Here is a 26722-nt window from a genome sequence, read left to right as displayed (position 1 = left end):
TCGGACAGTGGTGCTCCTCAGGAATTCCAAGCCCTGCCTCTTGAGTATGTCTTCCACATTTCCAGAAGGGTTCAGGTTAAAAGTTAAAGGAAATGATAAGGTACATTAGTCCAGACAAGCAATTTGTATGTCAGGTAACTCTTTCATGTATTCAGCTTTTATGGATTGAGCATGTAATCTGTACCAGGTGCAGTACTGGACATTGGGTTTACAGAGGTGAATGCAATAGACCTGACACCTGCCCCTCATGGAGCTCAGTATCAGTGAGTGACGGAATGGAGGCCCACAGACTAATAAGTAGGTAAACAAATCCATATATACCTGATTATAAAATGAGAACATCCAACAAAGGAAACAAACAGCTAGCTCTCATAAAGAACAATGGGGTAGGGATCAAGTAAGGCCTATCTTAAATGGTAATGTTTAAGATGCAACTTCAAGGACAAGAAGTTAGTGAGAGCATTCCAAACACAACAGCAAAATAAACGCTCTAAGACAGTGATCATCTCAGCAAGTCCTAGGAACTAAAAAGAGGCAGTTTGGTTAGAACATAGTGATGAGAGAAGAGTGAGTGAAAGCAGAATGGAAGATATAGGCAGTGGGCAAGATCAAGCATATCTTTCTGACTGTAGGATTGAATTTGAGCATTAATAAAAAGGGAATGGATTGAAGGAAAGACAAAGGTGAAACTAGCCTGCCTGCCTGCCTGCCTTCCTTCCTTCCTTTCTTCCTTGCTTCCTTCCTTCCTTCCTTCTTTCCTCCCTCCCTCCCATCCTCCCTTTTCTCCTCTCCTCTCCTCTCCTTTCCTTTCCTTAATTTCCTTCCTTTTTTCCTTCCTTCCTCCTTTCCTTCCCTCCTTCTTTCTTCCTTCCCTCCTTCCTTTTTTCCTGCCTTCACTAATTATTTAATGAGTGCTTACTAGATGCCCATATTATTCTAGTCCCTGGAGATAATGAGCTAAATGAAAGGGAGAGAAGTTTATTCCCAGTGGCTTTGACATTCTGAGCGGGAGGCTGGTGCTATTCTCCAATGGAGAGGGATGGGGACCTGATAAGGGAGCGGCAGTAAAGGGGGAGATAAATTGATGGATTTTATACCCCTCTTCTCACCCTCTATCACCCCACACATCAGCTAGTAATACTTTCACTACCAGTGTTTTGTTGAGCTTCTGACTTTGTATCTTAGAAAAATCATTCCTTTTGCTCCCCTTCCTGATCCTTCCCTTACCAGCTGTCATCTGATTCCATATCTCATCTTCTGAAAATGATGATGATGAGAAAAGCCAGAGAAAGAGACTGAAAGTACAAATTGATATATGAATTAGAACATGAATCAAATGAAAGGAAAGAAATGCTTGGAAAGAATGGATGATGGCAGAATGCTAGGAAAAGGATGGATTAACCTGCTCCACTTGAAGAGATTAGGTGTAGGGCTTTATACATTCAAGTTGCCCGTTAATTTTCTGATTCTGCCACTGGTGATGGGTTGAATCTTGGGACTTCTACCCTAGTTTTAATAAAAATGGCATGTATTGTTAGGAGCTATTATAACCTAGAATCTAGGTTCTGAAAGGCAAAGGAGGCACTTCTACCCTGGGTGTCTTCTCTTGTAACCACGATCTATCTGTGGCTCTTGAGCACTTAACAATCTGCCTAGTCTGGAGTGAGATGTACTATAAGTATAAAATACACACTGGAGTTTGAAGACTTACTACAAAAACAAGAATATAAAATAGTTACTGATTTTTATTTATTTATATTTTTTGTGATGGTGTCTTGCTATGTTGCCCAGGCTGCATTCAAACTCCTGGGCTCAAACAATCCTCACACTTCAGCCTTTTGAGCAGCTGGGGCTACAGGTGCATGACACCGTGCGTGGGCATTAATAATTTTTAGATTGGCTGGGTGCAGTGGTTCACGCCTGTAATCCCAGCACTCTGGGAGGCCAAGATGGGTGGATCACCTGAGGTCAGGAGTTTGAGACCAGCCTTACCAACATGGTAAAACCCTGTCTCTACTAAAAATACAAAATTAGCTGGGCATGGTGGTGCATGCCTGTAATCCCAGCTACCAGGGAGGCAGAAGCAGGAGAATAGCTTGAACCTGGGAGGCGGAGGTTGCAGTGAGCTGAGATCACACCATTGCACTCCAGCCTGGACAACAAGAACAAAACTCCATCTCAAAATAATAATAATAATAATAATAATAATTATTATTATTATTATTTTTTGATTGAGTATAGTTGAAATTATATTTTGGGTATTGGAGTAAATAAAGATGTCTTATTAAGAAAAACTCCCACTATTCCAATGTACTCTTTAAATGTGGTTACAAAAATTTCAACATTACATATCAGCTCTCATATTCCCATTGGGTAGCACTGCTCTAGAGAATAATAGTAACTAACACTTATTGAGCACTCAATGTGTTCCAGATATTGCTCTAAGCATGTTATATGTAAACTTCTAATTACTACAAATTTAAAGGTACATCATAATATAGTTCCATTTTAAAAAGAAACCAAGGCATAAAGGGATTAAATAATGCATCTACATTCATGCAATTGAATAGTGGCAGAGCTGGGATTAAAATTCAGTCAGGCTGGCTCCAGAGCTCACATTCCTCATCAACCCATTGTCCTGTCTCCTGGTGTCCAGTTGAGAGTTGCTTTAGCATAGTGCACAGAGCTAGGTGGGTACAAGGAGGCCAACAAGGATTTGATGCCTTCATGTATTAATTAGCAGATTTAAGCCATAGGAAACAAAGACACACTCAGGTTGCCTGAGCTGATGGGGATTTTTTTTTATGAGGATGGAGAAATAACCTAAGAGTCCTAGCAATGTCAGGTTTTGTGGAGAACTGGATCTCTGTTCAAGAGACCACAGTGATTTCAGTCTAAGATAGAACTCTGAGGCTACCATTCTTGGGTCTTGGATTCTATTTGCTGCTTTCTTAATCTATTACTGACTTATTGTCTCATGGCTTCTATTTACTTTAGACTTTTTACTAACTGTTTTCTCTTAGCATATTTTTCATTTGTCTTCTATACAGTTTCTTTGTCTGTAAGATTAGTATTCTGAGTTGCAATCTATAGGCAACTGGGTTGGCTAGTTTGGACACTCTTCAATACAGACTAGTTCTAGTAGGTGGAATTTTCTGTCAGGTTTCCTTATAAGTCATTGAACTTCCTTATGTTTAGCTATATTTGGGGCAGCATCCATCACAAGTTGGCTGCTATGGATAAAGTTACAAGATCATATGACCCACATAATAATATGATAGCAAGATATATTTCCATGTCACTAAGTGCATTTAGCTACATTCATTCATTCACCAAATATTTATTGAGTCTCTGCTATGTGCCAGGCACTGTTCTTGGCACTTGGAATTCATCAGAGAAAAAAAAGGCAACAATCCCTTCCCCCTAGAGCTATATTCTAGCTGAGGGAGGCAGACAATAACCAAAAGATATAATAAATGAAGTATAAAGCTTGTTAGAAGGTGATAGGGCTATGGAGAAGAAAGCAGAGTAAAGGGATAGAGAATGATGATGAAGTGAAAAAGTAGCTTGCAGTTTTACATAGTGTGATTAGGGTAGACCTCATTGAAGTGTGAGGTTTGTGTAAAGATATAAAGAAGGAGAGGGAATTAACTAAGAAGGAGCTGGAGGAAGAACATTTGGACAGATGGAACAACCAGAGCAAAGGTTCTCAGCCTGGCATGTTTGAAGAACAAGGAGGTTAGGATGTCTGGTGTACAATGAGGGAGACAGAGAGTGGTAGCAGTTGAGGTCAGAGAGGTCAGATCAGGTGGTAGTTTATAGGTGTTTGTAAGGATCATGACTTTTACTCCTATGAAATGGGAGTCATCACAAAGTTTTAGCAGAGAAGTGACATGATCTGATTTACCTTCTAAGAATACTCTGGATGTTGGATTATGCTATGATTTGGATGTGGTTTGTCCCTGCCAAAATTCAGATTGAAATTTCATTCTCAATGTGTTAGTGTTGGGGGGTGGGGCATAGTGGGAGGTGTTTGGATCATGAGTGCGGATCCTTTGTGAATAAATCAGTGTCTTCCCTCAGGGGTGAGTGAATTCAGGGGAATGAATTGTTCTTGCAGGAGCGGGTTGTCTTCTTCATTTCTCCCTCTCGCTTCTTCTCTCACCATGTGATGTCATTGCACACGTCCACTCCCCTTCCACTTTCCACTATAAGTGAAAATAGCATGAGAGAGGCCTTCACCAGATGCAGCTGCCCAATCCTGAACCTTTCAGCCACCCGAATTGTGAGCCAAACAAACCTCTTTTCTTTATAAATTGCCCAGGCTCAGGTTTTCTGTTATAGCAACACAAAACAGACTAAGACAGACTGCAAGTAAACTGATAGGAGGCAAGGGTGGAGGCAGGAGGTCCTGTTAGCAGGCAATTACAATGCTTTAAACAAGAGATGAAGGTTATTTGTGCTTGGGTGATAGGAATGGAGGTGGTGAGAAGTGGTTAATTCTGGATGCATTTTAAAGCTAAAGGATTTGCTCACAGATTGGAAGTATGAAATAAGAGAAAGTGTGAAGTCAAAGATAACTCCAGGATTTTTGGCATGGATTATTGGTAGGATGAAAATTATCATTGACAGAGATGAGGAAAGCTGTACGTGCTCCTTTGGGGTGTAGGGAAGATCAATTTCAGTTTTGGTGACACTGGGTTTGACATAAATGTAGACATGCAAGTGGACATGCTGAGGAAGCAGTGGATATATAAGTTTGGTGTTTGCGAGGCAGCTCTGGGTTTAAAATACACATTTGAGAGAAATTAGAATGTAGGTGATATTTAAAGCAATGAGACTCAATCAGATCATCAATGTAGTGAAGGTAGGTAAAGAAGAGAAGAAGACCAAAGACGAAACCCCAGAGTATTAACATATTAAAGTCTTATATAGAAGAGAAAAACCTGGAAAAAGACATAGAGAAGTCACTGGTGATATAGAAGAAAAGCACAGTGTGGTGTCCTGGAAGCCAAGTGAAGAGAGTGTATCAAGAAGGAAACCATGAGTATCTGGATGAAATTCTACTAATCTGTCAAGTAGGAAGAGGACTGAGAACTCACCATTGGATTCAGTAATATGGAGGTCATGTTGACCTTAATAAGAGCAGTTTTGGAGGAGTGGGATGGTGGTGAATGCTGATTGAAGTGGGTTTTATTTTTTAATTTTTTAATAGTTCTCTTTTTCCTTTTTTTTTAAATTTTAGGTTTAGGGGTACATGTGCAGGTTTACTACATAGGTAAACTCATTTCATGGGGGTTTGTTGTACAGATTATTTTGTCACCAAGGTACTAAGCCTAGTTAGTACTCAGTAGTGATTTTTCCGAATTCCCTCCCTTCTCCCACCCTCCATCCTCAGGTAGATCCCAGTGTCTGTTGTTTCCCTCTTCGTGTCCATATGTTCTCATCATTTAGCTCCCACTTATGAGTGAAAACATAAAGTATTTGGTTTTCTGTTCCTGTGTTATTTTGCTAAGGATAATGGCCCCCTAGCCTCACCCATGTTCCTGCAAAGGACATGATCTTGGTTTTTCTTTATGGCTGCACAGTATTCCGTGGTGTATATGTACCACATTTTCTTTATCTGGTCTAACATTGATGGGCATTTAAGCTGATTCCATGGTTTTGCTATTGTGAATAGTGCTGTAATGGACATATGCATGCATATGTATTTATGGTAGAACAATTTATATTCATTTGGGTATATAACTAGAAATGAGATTGCTGGGTCAAATGATAGTTCTGGAGTGGATCTTAGGAGATAATGAGAAGAGAGAAATGGAAAACAGTATGGATATCTCTTTCAAGAAGATGTGCTACAAAGAATAACAAAGAAATTAGGTGCAATTTTGTCAGGGAAGTAGAGTCAAGATAATATTTTACTTTTTCTTTTCTAAGATGAGAGGTTAGTATGCTGATGGGAATGATCCAGTAGAGACTGAAAAAGGGATGATGCAGGAGAGGAAAGATAATTTAGGAATGAAGTCCTGGAGCAGATGGAAAGCCCATGCTCTCCATCCGGTGGATCCAGTGCCCATGTTGAGGACATGATTTTAGATAGAAACATGAGAAGCTGATCCACCAATAGCTGGGAAGACAGGGGATGTGGTGTGGAAGTCCATGGAAGGTCACTTTTCTGAGTGAAGTGGGAAGTAATGTCATTAGGTGAAAGTGAGGATGGTGGAGGAGGTATGCATTTTAATTGACAAGAGAAGATTTGAACTAATCTTCCAGGAAAATAGGAGAGTGGATGGGTTCTAGACAGTAATATAATTCTGTAAGCAGCAAAGCCAGAACACTCTAAGGACAACACGTGAGTGTTTCCCTTTCTTCTTTTTTTAAATGGAATGAAATTTGCCAGCTACTTGTTTGAAACATGCCAAATACTGGTCTGGTGGGCCATTCGCAAGGGAGAAGAAAGGAGATAGCTTTTCAAAAGCACAGCCAAAGCTAGGCATTAATGATTAAAATGGGCAGGTAATTCATCTCCTTTATTCTACTTCTAGTAAAAGCTTAATTAGCTGAGAAAGAGAAAGAGAGAGAGAGAGGAGCACAAGGCCATAGTAGAATTTGAAGACCTGGAAATATGTCATTATGCAGAACTTAGCATCCTGGCTGTGGTCTTATGGATTATACAAATAGATGAAGAGCTCTAACTGATCACAGTGTGAGAAGAAAAAATGCTTCAAATCTTCTGCCTGCAAGTCTTTATTTCCAAGTTTGGAACCTCTATAGCCTCTAAATAAGAGGAAAAAAAAATGGAACAGAGGGCCAGTGTGAAAATGACAAAGACAGCATGATGAGGATGGGATGTTTGCTTACTGTCTACCTCTCTTAGTGGTAAAATTGATAAACCAGAAACTCTCCATTATAATTTCCAGAGAGCTTGACTATGAATATAAGATGTCAAGTAATATCAGAGGACTGAATGTTATGAGAAAAACCCACTCTATCTTTAGAGGAAATAGAAATGATTCTTAAGTCCCATTTACTTTGGACTTAGTAGAGCCATATTAACAGGCTGCTGTAATATAAAGGCTTTAGCATATTTGTTTCTAGGGCTGAATGTATAATTATGTATCTCTATATCTTCTAGATTTTTAAAACTCTCATGTTAAATTGAATTAACATGGATGCTCCGGGCAATAATTTCTTTAGTGTCTTCACTGCTACTCTTATAATCTTGTAGTTAATCCAAGATCTGAGGAGGACAGCCTTCTGGACTATAAACCCTTCATGCAGGTCTGACAGCCTGGCTTACAACCTGTGGAGGGGCTGGATGTACCCTCTGCTCTGTACTGTCCAGGAAAGAACTCTGCTTTTCCTTCTTAGAGGACAAAAGTACAAGCCAACCTCTATAGTGTTGGGACTTCATCTCTGTTATATATTTGTTTTAAATAAAAAACAGGCCAGGTGCAGTGGCTCACACGTGTAATCCCAGCACTTTGGGAGGCTGAGGTGGATGGATTACCTGAGGTCAGGAGTTCGAGACCAGTCTGGTCAAAATGGTGAAACCCCCATCTCTACTAAAAATACAAAAATTAGCTGGGTGTGGTGGTGTGAGCCTGTAATATCAGCTACTTGGGAGGCTGAGGCAGGAGAATCTCTTGAACCTGGGAGGCAGAGGTTGCAGTGAGCAGAGATCAAGCTACTGCCACTCCAGCCTAGGTGACAGAGTGAGACTCCATCTCAAAAGAAAAAAATTGTGTTAAACAAAAAACATGGAGGCCATCAGTCAATCAACATAATAAGATATCTACTACTCGGGAATGTGTTAGTGACCTCAGATTTGAACTACCCATCACATTGTGCCTTTCAGAGGCTCAGTGAAATAAGGGATAAATCAAAAGAACATTCTATTCTTTAAGCATTCATTACAATGCCAGGATTTATCAGGAACTCAAATTCTAGAGAATGATCTGAAAGGAAGACATCGTTTTCTAAGTATATTTTTGCCAAGAATCCACCTTTCAATTCAACTGGTACTTGTTGAATGCCCGACACTAAGTACTATTTCTTCAGTTTGATCTTGCTCCTAAATAAGAGCTAGAGGACCATCCATTTGATGGAGTTAGGTTTAACTTAGTGTAGAGGATTGCCTTCCAGGACTGGAAACAGATGGACATTCACAGATTAATTAGGCTCATCACTTACCCATAAATGGATAGGTGGTCATTGTTTCATGACAGAAAAAAGCAAATCTTTTAAAATTATTTATCAGGTAACTAAAATTTCCACCATTAAGACAAAAATTCTCTTGCTTGGGTGACTGTACTGACTGTTTGTAAATCCTTTAAAGGTGTAAATATCTTTGGGAGGACAGGTGACTATTTTCACCAGTTAGACTTTTGCGGTAGATGAGTTTTTCAGATAAAGAACTATTTTTCTTTATAGCAAAGGATAAGATCATGAAGAAATAAGATAGGACATGAAGAAGTCTTTTTGCAGGGCACAGTGGGTTGATCAAGGTGAAGCATTACAACAAGGGATTCTGGGAAGAAAGCTGGCTGCACTGAGGTTGTTTAGGTAAGAGAAGATCAATGAGAAAGTACTAAGGAGGAGACGTGTGGATGGACTGATTTTATATGCCCTGAAGATCAATGTTTCATTACTCCACAATTTGTCCTAGGGCTACTCCTTGTCCTGAACCAGCTGAATTCCTCCTAACAGGCTTTTTGGATTGTCAGAGCTATGTTCAGTTCTTGGCTTGGTGTTGTGTAAAGATCAGTAGTTTAGGAGCTTAGGAATCAGTGTCAGGCCCAAGCCCTGACTTCACTAACGTTCGTCCTGAGGCGAATTAGTTAACTCCATGGAGCCTCAGCTCTCTACCTATGGAAAGGGATAGCACACCAGAACCTTGACTTTGGAGAGGGATGTGTCATGAGGCCTTCATAAATCCTCACTACTGGAAATTCTGTTCTATCGTATTATTTATCTTTCAAGTTTTAATATATCATAACAGTAAAATTTTTAATGAACAGATTAATATGTTTAATATTTAATTGATATACAATTGTGATGTTTCGACATACCTGTGAAACCATCACCACCACAGTAAAGATAATGACCATAACTATCAACCCCACAGTTTCTACCTACCCCTTTGTAATCCCTTTCTCCTGACCTTTCCAGCTCCCTACCCTCCACCACATCCACATAACATTAAAATTTAAGTTACCCTTCAGATCCTTAATGGGAATAACCATCTTGGCATTAAGCAAACCACAAGTTGCATCAGGATGTGAATGTTGAACTGTTGGGTAAATTCATTCAGTTTTAAGAGCCTCTTCACCACATTATATCATCATAGCTCAAACAACTCAAATATAGTAGTCATTATATCAAGAAAACACCTGCATATGCATGTTTATTGCAGCACAGTTCACAATTGCAAAGATATGAAATCAACCTAAGTCTCCACCAACAGATGAGTGGATAAAGAAAATGTGTACACCATGGAGTATTACTCAATCGTGGAAAGAATGAAATAATGTCTTTTGCAGCAACTTGGGTGGTACTGAAGGCCATTATCTTTTTTTTTTTTTTTTTTGAGACGGAATTTCGCTCTTGTTGCCCAGGTTGGAGTGCAATGGTGCGATCTCGGCTCACCGCAACCTCTGCCTACAGGGTTCAAGTGATTCTCCTGCCTCAGCCTCCCGAGTGCTGGGATTACAGGCATGTGCCACCATGCCCAGCTAATTTTGTATTTTCAGTAGAGATGGGGTTTCTCCATGCTGGTCAGGTTGGTCTCAAACTCCCCACCTCAGGTGATCTGCCCACCTCGGCCTCCCAAAATGCTTGAATTATAGGCATGAGCCACTGGGCCCAGCCTGAAGGCCATTGTATTAGGTGAAGTAACTCAAGAATGGAAAATCAAATATCACATGTTCTCATTTATAAGTGGGAACTAAGCTATGGGTATGCAAAGTCATATAGAGTGGTATAATGGACATTGGAGAGTCAAAAAGGGGGAATGGGGAGGGTGGTGAGAGATGAAAAATTACCTATTGGGTATAATGCACTATCTGGGTGGTGGACACACCAGACTTCACCACTATACAATTCATCCATGTAACTAAAAACCACTTTTATTCCTAAAGCAATTGAAACAAAACAATAAAAACAAACAAATATATAACACAACCAAATTCAGAATTAATCTCTGTTATGTACCTTCAATGCTGCTTGGGACTGTCTAGCAACAACTGACTGCTCAATCAAGAAATGAAATGGTCTACCTATTATTCACTTCATGGATTGTTTCAGGACAAATGCAATAGTGTATGTGAAATTTCCTTGTAAGCCATAATGTGCCATATTAACAAAAGGAATAATTAGTATCTTGTAAGTCACTACTTTTCCCATGTAGCCCTAGCACTGCCGTGCAAATGAGCTGTTTGGTAGCACATGCAGCTTCTCTGAGTTCGGTATTAATCAATCATTAATTAGACATCCTTGTAAGAGCTTCATGATGCTTATTGACATGATGAAAATGCTTTGTATTAGCTTCAAGAAAATAAAACTAAAAAGATCATGGGGGACTCTTTTAGGATTTTTTGGATAGAGTGCAATATATCCAAGTCATGATTTAGATATTACTTACACTGATAATACCAAATTAGAATATGTGGTAAACAAAATCAAGCATGACCATCCCCCTACTGTGTTCTGTCTCTGTTAGTCTTCAGATAATATTCAAACTTTAAAAGCCTGCCTTCCCTATGACACTCATATGAAGAGAGTGGTGGCCTGACAATAATAACAAGGAGTACCATGAAGATATCATGGGTGTTTATCAACCTTGGTTAAATATAATCTGGGTAACTGCCAGAGTCTATATTGTCATAGAGTTAAGTATTTTCCATCTAGGAAGGTTATGACAAAGCTCATTTACAACATTAATTTCATTTCAAGGTTTTATTCTTGATCCAAGAAAGTACACATAAAAAGTACAGAAATCCTTCCTCAGCCATCAGCATTAGAATTCACAAAGCTCTTGTAGTAGAATAATTCATGGTTGAGGAATATGAGGGAACTGAGAATTCACCTGAGGGCAGGTGTATTTTTGAAAGTTCTTAATATATATTTAAACATTCAGATAAATAAAACAGAAAGACTGGAAAAGAGAATGTCAAAGACCTTAAAGTGGCAATTAAATAGCTCTTAAAATAGTAATAATGAACACTGTACAATACATTTCAATTTATCTTTCGTGCAGAGATGACTTCCTGGGAAGATGCATAGGTGAGAGAAGGGAAGGGAGGTGGATTAGGAAGATCCACGATCAGTGCCCTTCTATTCCATCTCCTGGATGTGCACATTCTGAGGTCTGTTCTGGAAGGTCAATCTCCTGGTTTTGGCTGTAGCAGTATACTTGTGGCCCTCCAATAGCAGAAATGGTGCTGAGTGAAGGACTTGAGGCTCTTGAGTGAGCTTCTCCTTCTTTGGGAAGCAAATATACTAGGCAGGCCAGTAGTCTATTGAAAAGATTGCTTTGCTCCTCTTTATGGGTTATACACAACCCTTCAAACTAAATCTGTTTTGGGTTTGGCTTTTACATGTGTTCAAAGTGGTGTCTTTAAGTGCGAAGTTTTAGTCAATTGGTTTCTTTGGGAGGTTTTGCTTCCTTCCTGTATTCTTTGTTAAATGCAGCCCACCTGCTTTGCTAGTCAGTGGGAAGGGCTGGGTGATGGGCAGATGCCTCTCTGACACAAGGGCCTCCCTGTGCACAGTCTGTATGCCGTTACCATAAGTCAGCAGGTTGAAGAGATAAAGGAAGTCAATTAAAGCCCTTTTATCAGAAAGTCACTTCCAGCACTTGTGAAATCATAATAGAGCTTTTTTTCTTTTCCAGCACTATGTATCAAGCCCTCTTCTAAATGTTTTCATGCTTTATCTCATTTAATTTTTATATCCACTGCACAAGGCAGTAATGGCTATTATCTCAATTTTGCATGGGATAAAGGGTAATAGCAGAGAGGAACAGTAACTTGCCCACAAACATATGCTAAGTAGCAGATTTGGGCTTGTGTGTAGCATTCTCATTCGAAGCCCTTCCCTTTAATCCGCCTCTCAGGCTGCCTCCTTATGTTTCATCATTGAATGCATTATTATCCTCCTCAAGATCACAAACCTCACCCCTGATCTTACTCCCCCAGTCACTGCCCAGTAGCGGCATCTCAGGAGCATTACTATTTAATTACTTCGCAAAGCTACCAAAACCCTAGAGAGTACTGCACAGTTATCTGTATTCATGAGAAAGCCCCAAAATAACCTCTGGTCTAGGGAGAAATCTACAAAAGAATGAGAGGAGAGGTAAGTAACCCGCAGATCCTTCTGGTTTCACAAGATTCTCTCCTAAGACAATCTTACATTGATTTAGAGCAACTACTGTGCGATGATCCATTATTCAAGTGGTTGTAGAAAATGCATACAGAAGTAAATCTGCAAAAAACTCAAAATTTCTTTGAGAGCTTGCAGGCTGCTTTTTTTATCTGTTATTTTTAGGGACTGCCCCCCCTTAGTAATTGCTGATGATTTTAAAAGAAAGAACACCAGTTAAATGATTCTAAGTCTAGAATCTGCCACTCTTTAGTTGACCTGGGACTCATTTGACCTTGTTGGGGGTAATAGAGCACTAATAATAATAATTTAGCATCAGAATAATATTAATCTAAGAATATTTAATAATGTAATGTTAATAATATCATTAATAACTATTCATTTCTGACTTCACATAATATCTATTTTTGTTTTATTTTTTCTTTTGCCTCACTTTTCTTATTAGTCTCGTCATACTCGACATCCCATACTAAGCCTCTGGAATCCATTTTAACGAGGCAAGTGAATAAATAAACTCTCTATTTTATGGCTCTTTTGGAGAATAAATGGGATAATATGAAAATGGTTTGAAACAGTAAAATGCTATATAAATGCAGCACTATAGCTAAATTTATATAGCATTTCTGTTATTTCTCCTTCCTAGAATGTCCTTTCCTTCAATCTGTGCCTAACAAGTTTTCTGTCTTTTCCTCAAATGCTCTATGATATTTGTTTGAGTTCTAGTTACCTCCATTTTTCTGGGCAATACATGCTCATTGTTCTGTGATTTAAACAAGTTCATCTGTTTTTGTTCGTGTGTGTTCATGTGGATCTTTTCTTGACCTCCTCATTATTCTAATAATTTCTTTTCTAGGGTTTCTTTCATCTTTAAGCCCACATCCTATTCTCTTTCTGGCATAGTCTAAGTGTTCCTTTCTCATTTTGCTTTTACAAAATGAGAAGGATCAGAGGTGTTTTATTACATTTTAACCATTTTATTTCCATTCACTAACAGAAAAGCAACCGTTACTTATTTTCTGGGATCAGAATAGAATCAGGTTTTCACCCTTTGGTGATTCAATATTGTTGGGAAATCATTCTATTTATGAGCTCTTCATAGAAGAATGCAGCTCCGTGTGTGTAATTCTTTGAGAAAAGAACCCAAAAGGGCAATAGAGGTTGAGAAAAATACTCTAATCAGCACACTTTGCTCTTTATCATTCATGATTTTCCAGGGTAAAGTATCATATTGTCTCATTTAAGTCTCAGAGGAAATAAACAGAGGCTCACACAGGCTAAGAAATTGAGATTACCCTATTATGACCTTTGTGATAAAATGTTTAAAAACAATGGAGATTTTTATACTTTCATTTTGTATCCTCTTAGTAAACATGAGGATACTTCTTATAAGGACTTTATTTCATTTTGAGACAGAGTCTCACTCTATCACCCAGGCTGGAGTGCAATGGCGTGATCTTGGCTCACTGCAACCTCCACCTCCTGGGCTCAAGTGATCCTCCCACCTCAGCCTCCCAAGTAGCTGGGATCACTGTCGTGTGCCACCACTCCTGGTACTTTGTATTTTTTGTGTTTTTTGATAGAGATGGGGCTTCACCATGTTGGCCAGGCTGCTCTCCAACTGCTGACCTCAAGTAATCCTTCTGTTTTGGCCTCCCAAAATGCTGGGATTACAGAGTGAGCCACCACACCTGGCGGAAGACTTTAATATGGATACACACAGATACAATTAATAATAAAATACAGTGTTAAGGAAATCAAATATACTTGACTTTGATAAGTCAAATGGAAGGGTCTCTAAATGAAATATAAAAAGATCTATTAAGTCATGAATGTATTCTCCTGCCAAGACCCAGATATAATAAGACAGGTAATCAGGAAAGAACAATGTTGGAAAAATATTCAAAATTGCAACTGTAGATGCCCCCAAAGGTAACTGAGCTGCCTTCTTGGTTGACAGTTTTGAGACTGTCTGACTTTTTCACAAGGCCATGGTCAACACTACCATAATTCTCTTTGTAATGCAGTAATAGGAATCTGTTTCTCAGGGGTTTAAGAAGATTCGCTTTGATCGCATGTTCATATTCACCCAGGTTAATTGATATTTAGACAATGCTGACCTCTTTTTTTTTTTTTTTTTTTTGAGACTGAGTTTTGCTCTCATTGCCCAGGCTGGAGTGCAGTGGTGCAATCTTGGCTCACTGAAACCTCCACATCCCAGGTTCAAGTGATTGTCCTACCTCAGCCTCCCAAGTAGCTGGGATTAGAGGCATGCGCCATCACGCCAGGCTAATTTTTGTATTTTTAATAGAGATGAGGTTTCACCATGTTGGCCAGGCTGGTCTGGAACTCCTGACCTCAGGTGATCCACCCACCTCAGTCTCCCAAAGTGCTGGGATTACAGATATGAGCCACCGCACCCGGCCTGAACTCTTTAATAGAATTGTTCAAACTTTGTAAAAGGAGGGCAGAGAAGACGTGTAAAGAGACAACCTTTGAAGTATGAACAGCCGCTGCCGTCTCTAGAATGGCTTAATTTTTGTGGGTGTTTATCACAGAGGAGTGCCCATGCTCCACTGCATTCTTGGCTCCTGTGTTCCTCTCTCCCCTAAGTGGATGGTGACAGTCAGGGGCAGGGGTGGGGGCACACTCGCCAGCTAGGCTGATGGATGCTGGAGGCACTATGGGAGAGCGCTGGAGCTGCTCACTTTTCCAGGAGGTGAGGGAGACAATCCTTGCAGAGGAGAGGCTGGGCCATTGGGCTGACTTTCTCCTGCCTCTGATGAGGTGGGTAAGACTTGGTCTAAGTTGAGGAGGAAGAAAGTCAGAGTTATCGACAGCAAAGAATGAAATTGAAGCTTCTCTCCTGCCAGCTCTGGAACCCTGCAAATAATTTGATCTTTATACTTTCAGTTTTTCTTCTATAAAACACATACTAATAGAATCAACTCTTAGGGTTGTAGTGAGGATTAAATGAAAGAATTAAGTAAGACTGTTAGCAGAATGTCTGGTGTTAGTGAAAATTCATAAATGGAAGTTATTATATAATTTGAGCATTCCATCTTTTTTGCTTCTTTGGTGTGAAGCCATAAGCTATCACTAACAGAATCCTGTGTTATTGTTTTAAAAATGGATAGGGTTGGCCTTTCCCTTGGAAAAATAGCATTCATAATACCAAGGCCAGGTTCCATGGCTCTCACCTGTAATCCCAGCACTTTGGGAGGCTGAGAGGGGAGGATTGCTTGAAGGCAGGAATTTGAGATCAGCCTGGGCAACATAGCTAGACCGCGTCTCTGCAATAAAAAGAAAGAATTTATAGTTCCTGAATTGTATAGACCTCTTCAAAAAGTACACCCACACCCATATAGAATATCCATCTCTATCTATCTATTGATTGATCTACCTACCTAACTATCTATCTAATCTATCTAAGTTTTTCCTAGTAGCAATATGCCTGGGCCTGGCCTCTTACTATAAACTTGGCAGGATGCTGACTTGGAACAAAAGTGAATCAGGTTTAGGCTCTTGAGGACTCCTCTCCTTCCAGCCTCATTTGTCTCAGTGTTGTCATTCCCAACAACTTTCCCTTCTCTCTTATTACTTATTTATTTATTTGGGGACAGGAGTGTTCCCATGTTGCCCAGGCTGGTCTTGAAATGATCCTCCTGGTCTCAAGTGATCTTCCTAGGATTACAGGCATGAGACACTGCACCCAGCCCAACTTTCCCTTCTCTACCACTGATCGGAGAAGTCCCACAGAAGGGAGCCAGTTCAGGTGTTCATCCAGGGTGAAACAGGTGAGTAGAGCCGGAATTGGAGAGGATGCTACTTGGGATGGAACAGTATCTGGGGCCAGTGGCCTCAAACTCTTCCTGTAGACAAAGTGAGGGGATGCCAGATTTTTTCACCAAGCTGGGGCTTAATATGTAGTAAGGAGGACAGATTCAACCAGGCACATCAGGCCCCACCAATGATAAAACAGAACCCCAAAGGGCTCGACTATGTCCACTGGGGCGTGTGAGTCTGCAGGGAGTCATCAGTTGGAAATGAATGAAGTTGGCATGAAAGACACAATCTCCTAGGAGTGAGGGCCAAGGGAGTTCTGTGCCCTCTATGGTCTCCCAGGGCTGGGCACTCAGCCATGTACGGTGCTTTGTGTCCTTGATTGGGCCTTGGGAGTAACTTACGGGGGATGGGTCTCTTTTTGCTCAGTGATGCAAGCCCCTAGTGATTTTCTCAACAAGGACACAGCTCCCATTCCTCCCCTCCCTTTCCCCTTACCAAAAGCTCCTTGCTGTATTATGTGCTATAAACATTATAATCATATTTAGCATTTTACTTGTGGGACTACGCCATTATACATATTATAATAATAATAAATCTGGCTGAACGTTTATTATGCCCAAGGGGTGTCTAATGCCTTGGTAAACCTTTCCTCTTTGATTATGCTTTTCATTTTGTCCTTTCCCAATTCTTGAAGCAAGGTGGCTGTATCAAGGACTCCGGCATCACTTAGAAATTTAATTTTCTTTAAGCATTTAGTAGATTATTGCTGATGAGATTTAATAAATATACACATATTTTTAAAGTTAATATCTGACATAAAATTGAGTAACAGATAAGCACTGAGACATTCATGATAAGTGCAATAGTAACTTTATGGGAGGATGGCCTTGTTGAATTAATGATGGCTTCTTCTGTGCTCTCTGCCACCCAGACTGAAAAACTTGGGTTCCTATTTTGTAAAACATGAACCTGACCCTTAAGCAATTGATTGGAACAAGAGTGAGCTCCTGAACTAAGATTCAGAGACTTAGTCTCACTAAGGGGTAAGGCTTACTTATGTTAATCCAAGAGCAGGGGTGCACTGAAAAAGCCTCCCCTGAAATGCTGGTGAGTAGAGAAAGAATTATTATATATAGACGTAAAAATGAGAGCAGAGATGAGGGAAAAATAGTGTCAAGATGACTTCCTAATTCCTAGCTCTCAGTTCTCATTTCTTCCTAAGTTCAGCAGCCTTTAAATCTGTCCTTAGACCACTGAGTTCAACTAGCCATTTCTTTGCTGCAGCTAGGTTGAATATTAATTTTATTTCTATCATTTGCTGCCAAAGCAGCTTTAATGAATTACATAAATATTCCAGGTAAAAATAACGTAACCACTGGTGTTTGCTTAGGTGGGGATGAGGGGAGTGGGGTGGGCTGGAATGGGGGAATAAGCCTCTGCTGCCCCATCTCAGGCTGTGGCGCTGACCTTACAGCTTGTACTTCAAAAGTCTGTTTCCCTTGAAGAGGCTCTTGAGAAGAAAATATTTTGACCTTGAGTTTCCCTAAGGAATTGGCCCTGAGATATGTAAAACCCAAGAAAAACAACATCTTTCTTTCCAGAATGTCATTGTTTCCTTGTGTTGTTAGAACTGGAGGCTTGATTGTACTTTTGGGGGCCAGTGATGCTTTTGTTTTGGAAAAACACCCATAGGTTTTGCAAAGTTAAAGTCCAGATCCTGTGTTGGAAAGGAGATAAGGAGAAGCTGAGTTTCTCTACAGAGTTATGTCAAAGGTTGTCTTCCTCATGGGTAAAATAGCATCTCGGAGATGATGTGTGAGCAGAGGCTGGCCTGCACTGATGAGTGAAGGAGAAAACTGGCTTTCCTTTTTGTTTGTGTTTTTCCTACTCTAGGTGGCGGTTGAGGCCTTGGACTCTGTAGCTAGTCTGCCATTGTTTCTGTCAGAGCCCAGGCAGGCGACAGAACCACACCAGTTACTTGAACCAAGCAGATTTCAGTAATAAGAATGATTAATTAGGGCCAGGTGTGGTGCCTCATGCCTGTAATCCAGAGGCAGGTGGATTACTTGAGGTCAGGAGTTCAAGACCAGCCTGGCCAACATGGAAAAAAACCGATCTCTACTAACAATAGAAAAATTAGCTGGGCGTGGTGGCCATGCTTGTAATCTCAACTACTCTGGAGGCTGAGGCAGGGGAATCACTTGAACATAGGAGGCAGATTTTGCAATGAGCTGAGATCGTGCTACTGCATTCCAGCCTAGGGAACAGAGTGAGACTCGATCTCAAATAAAAAAAAAGAAGAAGGCATAAAGTTGTTATTGAATAACTTGGTGACTAAAAGGGTTTCTCAGAGGTAGCAACTGAAAGAAGCATGTATCACCTCTAGGGCTGTGGAAACAAAAGGAAGACAGTGTAATACTTAAAATTTAGATGATTGGAGAAGTAGTCCCACGGAGATGAAACTCAGACCTCTGGGGAGGAGCCACTACTTGGCTGGTACTGGGGTCTCCGAGTTGAAAGGAGGGAATCATGGGATCCAGATCTCCAAAGTAGGGGTGCTGGTTGCCTGGTACTGGCATCTTGGGAGGTAGTGGCAAAAGAGGAAGGCACAGTGGTCCCCACTTATTTGTGGTTTCACTTTCCACAGTTTCAGTTACCTGCAGTCAATGGCCATCTGAAAAGATTAAGATATTTTGAGAGACAGAGAAACCACATTCACATAGCTTTTATTAGTGACGGCAAAACCACAATTACTTTTACACCATCCTAATATTACAGTATTTTGTTATAATTGTTCTAGCTTATTATTATTGTTGATCTCTTCTTGTGCCTAATTTATAAACTAAACTTTACCATAGGTATGTATGTACAGGGAAAAACAGTGTATACAGGGTTCTGTACCATTGGTGGTTTCAGGCATCCACTGGGGGCCTTGGAATGTATCCCCTGTGGATGAAAGGGGATACTGTAGTTCTGCGAACCATGTATGTGTGTATGTGTACACATAAGTGCACATGTAGTAATTCCCTTATGTCTCTGTAGGGAAGGAAAGTTCAGGGCTGAGGCTGCTATAAGAAAAGACAGATTAACAAGAGAAAAGCATATACATTTATTTAACGTAAGTTTTACATAGAACCTTCAGAAATGAAGACTCAAAGAAACAGAGACAACTGTGTATTTTTTTATGAAAGGTTTGATGAAGGGTGGCCATTATAGGGAAGTATGACTGGATAAAGAGGGTTTGATCTACTGGTAATAAGCCAGGAGGAGCTCTGCAAGGCCTGTTTGTTCAGACTCTTCTTGGCATCTCTGTGTCTTTGGATCTTTTTCTCCGGAAATAAGGAGGGCTCCCCTTGAATAAGGGTCTTATGACCTGCTTCAAGGGAAGGTCAGAAAATCCTTCCTAGATTTTATGACCTGCTTCAGGGGAGAGGGGCAGAGGGAAAGAAATAGTGACTTTCCTGCTTCTGCTGTTTTCTCAAATGCTAAGGTACCAGGTTTTAGGGTAGTGTGGCCTGAATCCCATCACCTTCTTCCAGCTTTCAGCCAAAGCTTATTATATTGTATGTTACAACCTCATCTCAGCTCTGTTTTGTGAATTAATGTTTGAACCCATGTCCATGCTTGGGGCAACCATGACAGAGAGATCAAAAGTTGTCTGCAGAGGTTGGTTCTAAGATGGCCAGAGGTAAATTGTAGAAGAGTGCAGTTGAGAACCAGGTCCCCATGGAGGTCATGAAGACAGGGGACAATGGGATTTGTTTGTGAAAACAAACGCATACCTTAGGGACTCCCTGAAATATATGGGGGAGAGGAACTGGTTCTAGTGGAATTGGGTAGGGAGGACTTAGACTTTAGTTATTTTTAAAGAGCCTCATTAGTCAATGAGGGAGCTGGGAAAATATGATTGCTTTGAAGAGCATTTAAGACATGTGGGTATTTATGCTTAATTTAACAAGAAAGTGTTAGGGTAGGATTGCTGAGTTAAATATAAATCTATTTGATGTCCAACAAGTCATATATCTTTGGGGTTATCTCTTCCACTAGACAAATTATTCACATTTCTAACCAATGAAAATTTGCAGGTGTGCAAGTAACTTCACTAGAGCTGGAAATGTTAATTTGTGGTTAAAAATGACATGAGCCAAATATATTCTTCTAGGTAATCTGGGGGAGTTCCTTGTCCCCATATGATATTGAAAGGACGTGCCACCCACCTTTTTGCCTTAATTCAAAGTTTTGGATAAATTTCTTTTTTTTAATTTTAAAAAGTTTTTATAGCTTTATCAAGATGTATTACATACAATGATTGATCAGAGTTTAAAGTGTACAATTTCATTACTTATGACATATATATGCACTGTGAAACCATCACCAAAATGAAGACAACAAACATTTCCATCCTACTCTTCACCTCCACAGAGTTCCTTCATGTCCTTCTGTAATCCATCCAAATGTCCACTTCCTTCTCTAGGCAACCTCTGACCTGTTTTCTCTTACTACAGATTAATTTGGCTTTCTAAAATTTCAAGTAACCGGAATAACTTCATTTATATCCTGTCATAAATGAAATCATTCAGGTGTTTTTCTATTTATGGTTTAGCCTTCACACAGCAAATAAAGATCCATCTAGGTTGCTGCACGTATACAAATTGTTTCCTTTTGTTGCTGAGTAATGTTCAATTGTATAAATGTATATTAATTTAGTTTATCCATTCACTTGTTGAGGGACATTTCTTAACATTATTTAGGCATAAAAAGAGGTAGAACCTTGACAGCTTCTCTAGAGGTTGCACCTAAGTATGCAGGGCAGCTGTGCTAGAAGCCACGAACGCTATTCTCTGTCTGGGGTTCTATGCCAGCCACCTTCTACTGCCTACATGGTTACTCTTGGGCTTTCTCCAGTTGCCTGGGTTCTACCAGGCTCACCAGTATTGATAACTTGTTCTACGCCTAGACTACTTGATTAGCTTGACCAGGAATAGCTATTCTGTCCTTGACGTTAAATAAACCTATAGGTAATAACAAAAATCGCTCTTTTGGGGCATTATACACTTCACAAATCACTTCTCCATTTATTGTCTATAAATATAAGATGCATAACATATTAACATATGCCATATGTGAATATGGCATACAAATGAATGTCATATACATTGTATGGAATACTTATTTTATGATACATGTAGATATACAGCTATATCAATTGATTGATTGATCAAGCTATTGATATAAAATGTCTGTATATGTCCACATGAAAAGTTCAGAAGGGTAAAAGTTGGATCTAAATAAATGAACAGAATTCAAGTTTCTAGTCAGTCAAGTGAGACTTATGCTATGTACCAAAAGGGGCCACACAAGATTGCATATAGAATATGAACTAAACTGGGTAAGAAACTGCCCATAAGAAAACTTGAGGGGCATCTATTAAAATATTAAAATGATTAACTTTGAATTGTGGACATATATATGTATATAATAAGCATATATATATTGATAATTAAAGTCAAAAAAGAAAAAAATGAAAAAAAGAGCTTTGGGAATTCCGGTAGCAGGGAATATATGAAATGCATTAACATATGGGTTCTGTGATAAGTTTGAGGAAGAGGAAGAAGTTGTCTTGGAATTAAAATCTATGAGAATTTTTTCATGTGGAATTTCATAACAAGGAAATAAACATCTCCAGTATTTCCTCAGGCACAAACTTATACTTGTATTAGTAGAATTCATATTATTGTTTCTTGTAATGGCCTTTCATAAAAACCAAGGGCATAACATTAAAAGTGAAGCCAGTGAAGGTTAACTCTAGGAGGATTCACACTGCAATAAATACGTAGATTCCAAGTCACTAAACCGGTCCAAGAATAGATCTTAGAGAATAATTGACTTAACCAAGGTCACAGAGTATGTTAATGTTAATGGCAGAGCCAGAATTAGACTTCATGTCTCTTGATTTTTCAGCCTGACAATGCTACCCATCCTCCTGCCTTGCCCCAAAAGAAGAAATGCAGACCTTATTTCAGTTACTGTGATCACCAGCCATCACTGACTTGAATCCTTTACCCCAAAACATCCTGCAGGTATATACTCACTCACCTTTTTTACCCCCTTACATCAAACTACTTTTTTTCCTTTTTATGTCAAACCCCATTTTTTCTCTGAATGGGAGCTAGAGGGAGAGAGACTTAGATTTACAGAGGCTTGGAAATTAAACCACATTTTATACCCAAATTTTATCCACAAGAGACCAAGCTGCAAACACTTGTCCTTCAGTGATTAATGGAGAGAAATTATGGTGTAACTGATGGGAAATTTATAAGATGCTTTTAATATAATTAAAAATGATGTCTCTATTGGCTCTTAACTGTTCCAAACCTAATATTGGCTTCTTTCCAGAACTAACACATTTCATATAGCAACAGGGGGACACATTAAAGAAAAAGAAAAATTCTTTCCATTTTTGAATTTGTACATATTTTTGACCAGAGTGTAGTTTGTAAAATTTAGTATTAGTTTACTATATTATGAAAGAATCACTGGGTTGCTCTACTAATATTTTCATAAAATTGTGGAGAGTTTTAGAGCAGAAGGAAGCACAGGGGTCCATCTAAATCTGTCTCATTTTACAGATTAGGAAACTAAGTCCAGAGAGGCTTCTTCCTAGCTAGTCACTAATCCTTTAATTTCCTTTTCTTCATTCTTTGATTTGAAAAATGATATTTGAACATCTATTATATGTCAGATTATGGAATAGGTCCTAAAGAGATAATTGTCAAAAGCCTGGGTTCATAGTCTAACAAATTACAAACTAGAGAAGGTACAGTACATATTAATAAACATTAATCTATCATAGCATATGTGACTTTCTCTTATATATAGTTCTGTTCCTAGAACTACAAAAGATGAGGGAATGCTGAAATTTGCCCGAGTTGTCAGGAAATATTTACTAAAATGGATTATGTTTTATTCAGGCCTTGAAAAATGAGCAGGAATACACCAGCTTCAGAAACAAAAAAGACCACTGAAGGCAGAGGAAACAAGTGGTACAAGATAGAGGCAGGCAGGTGTGTGCTTGCTCGGAGCATGCCAAGGACTGGCTTCATATTTAGAGAGTGGTTGAAGGTGAGATTAAATAGGTGAGCTCTGATATGGTTGCAAAAGTCTTTATAGAGTCACTTAAGTTGTATAAACTTTATTCTATAGGCAACGGGGAGCCAGTATGTAATGTTAAGAAGGAAAATGACATTTTACATTTTGACATGGGCCTATATTTGAGAGGAATCACTGGTGGATTTGTGGAGGATGCAAAGGACCAGTTAGGAGGCAAGTCCAGATGGAAATGATGAGCTAATGAGCTAGGCTGAGGACAATGTGCCTCATGAAGAAAATGAGATGTTTATGAGGTTAGAACTGGCCATGTCCTTCGCCCACTTTTTGATGGGGTTGTTTGTTTTTTTCTTGTAAATTTGTTTGAGTTCATTGTAGATTCTGGATATTAGCCCTTTGTCAGATGAGTAGGTTGCGAAAATTTTCTCCCATGTTGTAGGTTGCCTGTTCACTCTGATGGTAGTTTCTTTTGCTGTGCAGAAGCTCTTTAGTTTAATTAGATCCCATTTGTCAATTTTGGCTTTTGTTGCCATTGCTTTTGGTGTTTTGGACATGAAGTCCTTGCCCACGCCTATGTCCTGAATGGTAATGCCTAGGTTTTCTTCTAGGGTTTTTATGGTTTTAGGTCTAACGTTTAAATCTTTAATCCATCTTGAATTGATTTTTGTATAAGGTGTAAGGAAGGGATCCAGTTTCAGCTTTCTACATATGGCTAGCCAGTTTTCCCAGCACCATTTATTAAATAGGGAATCCTTTCCCCATTGCTTGTTTTTCTCAGGTTTGTCAAAGATCAGATAGTTGTAGATATGCAGCATTATTTCTGAGGGCTCTGTTCTGTTCCATTGATCTATATCTCTGTTTTGGTACCAGTACCATGCTGTTTTGGTTACTGTAGCCTTGTAGTATAGTTTGAAGTCAGGTAGTGTGATGCCTCCAGCTTTGTTCTTGTGGCTTAGAAGACATTTATGCAGCCAAAAAACACATGAAAAAATGCTCATCATCACTGGCCATCAGAGAAATGCAAATCAAAACCACTATGAGATATCATCTCACACCAGTTAGAATGGCAATCATTAAAAAGTCAGGAAACAACAGGTGCTGGAGAGGATGTGGAGAAATAGGAACACTTTTACACTGTTGGTGGGACTGTAAACCAGTTCAAGCATTGTGGAAGTCAGTGTGGCGATTCCTCAGGGATCTAGAACTAGAAATACCATTTGACCCAGCCATCCCATTACTGGGTATATACCCAAATGACTATAAATCATGCTGCTATAAAGACACATGCACACGTATGTTTATTGCGGCTCTATTCACAATAGCAAAGACTTGGAACCAACCCAAATGTCCAACAATGATAGACTGGATTAAGAAAATGTGGCACATATACACCATGGAATACTATGCATCCATAAAAAATGATGAGTTCATGTCCTTTGTAGGGACATGGATGAAATTGGAAACCATCATTCTCAGTAAACTATCGCAAGAACAAAAAACCAAACACCGCATATTCTCACTCATAGGTGGGAATTGAACAATGAGATCACATGGACACAGGAAGGGGAATATCACACTCTGGGGACTGTGGTGGGGTCGGGGGAGGGGGGAGGGATAGCATTGGGAGATATACCTAATGATAGATGACACGTTAGTGGGTGCAGCGCACCAGCATGGCACATGTATACATATGTAACTAACCTGCACAATGTGCACATGTACCCTAAAACTTAAAGTATAATAAAAAAAAAAAAAATTAAAAAAAAAAAAAAAAAAAAGAACTGGCAAGACCTTATGATGATTGTGAGGGCTAAGACACAGGTATCAACCAGGGAGAAAAAAAAATTTCTGTTTTTGAAGGTTGAAGTCATAGTGATGCTACAAACTAGGCTATGAAATACATGAAGAGGGTGGTAGGGAAAAAGTTCGCAGGCAGGTAATAGATTCAGCTCACCCAGGATGGGATACTTAAAGGCAATATATATGGAAAATAAATGAAAATTTGTGTCTTAAGCTCAAAAGAAAAATCTGGGCTAGTGCTACTGATTTTAGTTTTTGAAGTAGGTGAAAGTTGAAGCTAAGGAAAGAGAAAATAGAAAAAGTCAAAGTATAGAATCAGGGAGTCACCATGGTTAAAGGATAAATGGAAGAAGGGAGCTAGTGCAATCCATGATTTAAAAGAATTATTGGGCCGGGTGTGGTCGCTCACACCTGTAATCCCAGCACTTTGGGAGACTGAGGTGGGTGGATCACCTGAGGTCGGGAGCTCAAGACCAGCCTGACCAATGTGGAGAAAACCTGTCTCTACTAAAAATACAAAATTAGTTGGGCATGGTGGCGCATGCCTGTAATCCCAGCTACTCGGAAAGCTGAGGCAGGAGAATTGCTTGAACCTGGGAGGCAGAGGTTGCGGTGAGCTGAGATTGCGACTTTGCACTCCAGCCTGGGAAATGAGCGAAACTCCGTCTCAAAAAAAAAAAAAAAAAAAAAAAAAAGAATTATTGGTGAGGTAGAAAGAGAATGAAGAAGACAATGCTATAAAATTGTTAGTTATGATGGTTTCAGCTCAATTAATACTCAAACCAACTCAAAATGACTATAATGATAAAGTGAATTTTTCTGCTTATGGAGTAAATACTCTATAGAGCAATACTCTAGAGGTAAGTTAACTAGGACCAAGAACAGGTGCTATAGTCACAGATCCAGTTCCATTCGCCTTCTTATTCTCCCAGAAATGCTCTCCTCTGGGTGTTGTGTTTCTCCATAGACTGTTGGGGAAATGGCTACAGAATTTCGAGATTTCCCATCCATGTATAACCAAGGCCCCCTTTCCAGTGGTTGTCTTGCAAATGTAAAGAAACTTCTCCCCTAGCCTCCTTGCTCCCCCAATTCCCATTGATCTTGCTCTTGCATTTTATTGGCTTGACATACCTATCTGAACCAACTTCTCTGGCCAGTAAAATTCCATATGCTGGTTGCATCAGATCTGGGTTTCTGAACTGATCATTAGCATAGAAAGCAGAGATTGGGCTTAATCTCATTAGGAGGGGACTCATTGATCTCTCTTTTGTCTCATGAACTGCATCACTACTAACCAAAGAGGCTGAGGTGGAATGGATGTCAGGTGGGAAGGTATCTGACACAAAAGTCAAAGAAGGAGAGAGCTTCAGAATGAATGGGTAATCATTCATACCAAAAATTATAGTTGAGATCAAGTAGGATAGATATAAAGAAACCATTAAATATGTCAGTCACTGGGATAGATGGTCATTGATGACCTTTGGGTGAGACTTTTCAGAGAAGCTCTGGGGCAACCCTTGCAGAACACTTTTCGAAGGAATCCAGTGGCACAGAGAGAGATAAGGGATGTTAAATCAGTTGCAATTCAATGAAGCCTGTAAATTTGCTTGAGAATATTATTTTACTTTGTTAATAAATTCATAACAACTCA

The sequence above is a fragment of the Homo sapiens genome, chromosome 8, assembly GCF_000001405.40.
Source record: "Homo sapiens chromosome 8, GRCh38.p14 Primary Assembly".
In the NCBI taxonomy this organism is placed as follows: domain Eukaryota; kingdom Metazoa; phylum Chordata; class Mammalia; order Primates; family Hominidae; genus Homo; species Homo sapiens.
The sequence above is the reverse complement of the archived record's forward strand: the minus strand, read 5'-3'. Positions refer to the sequence as shown.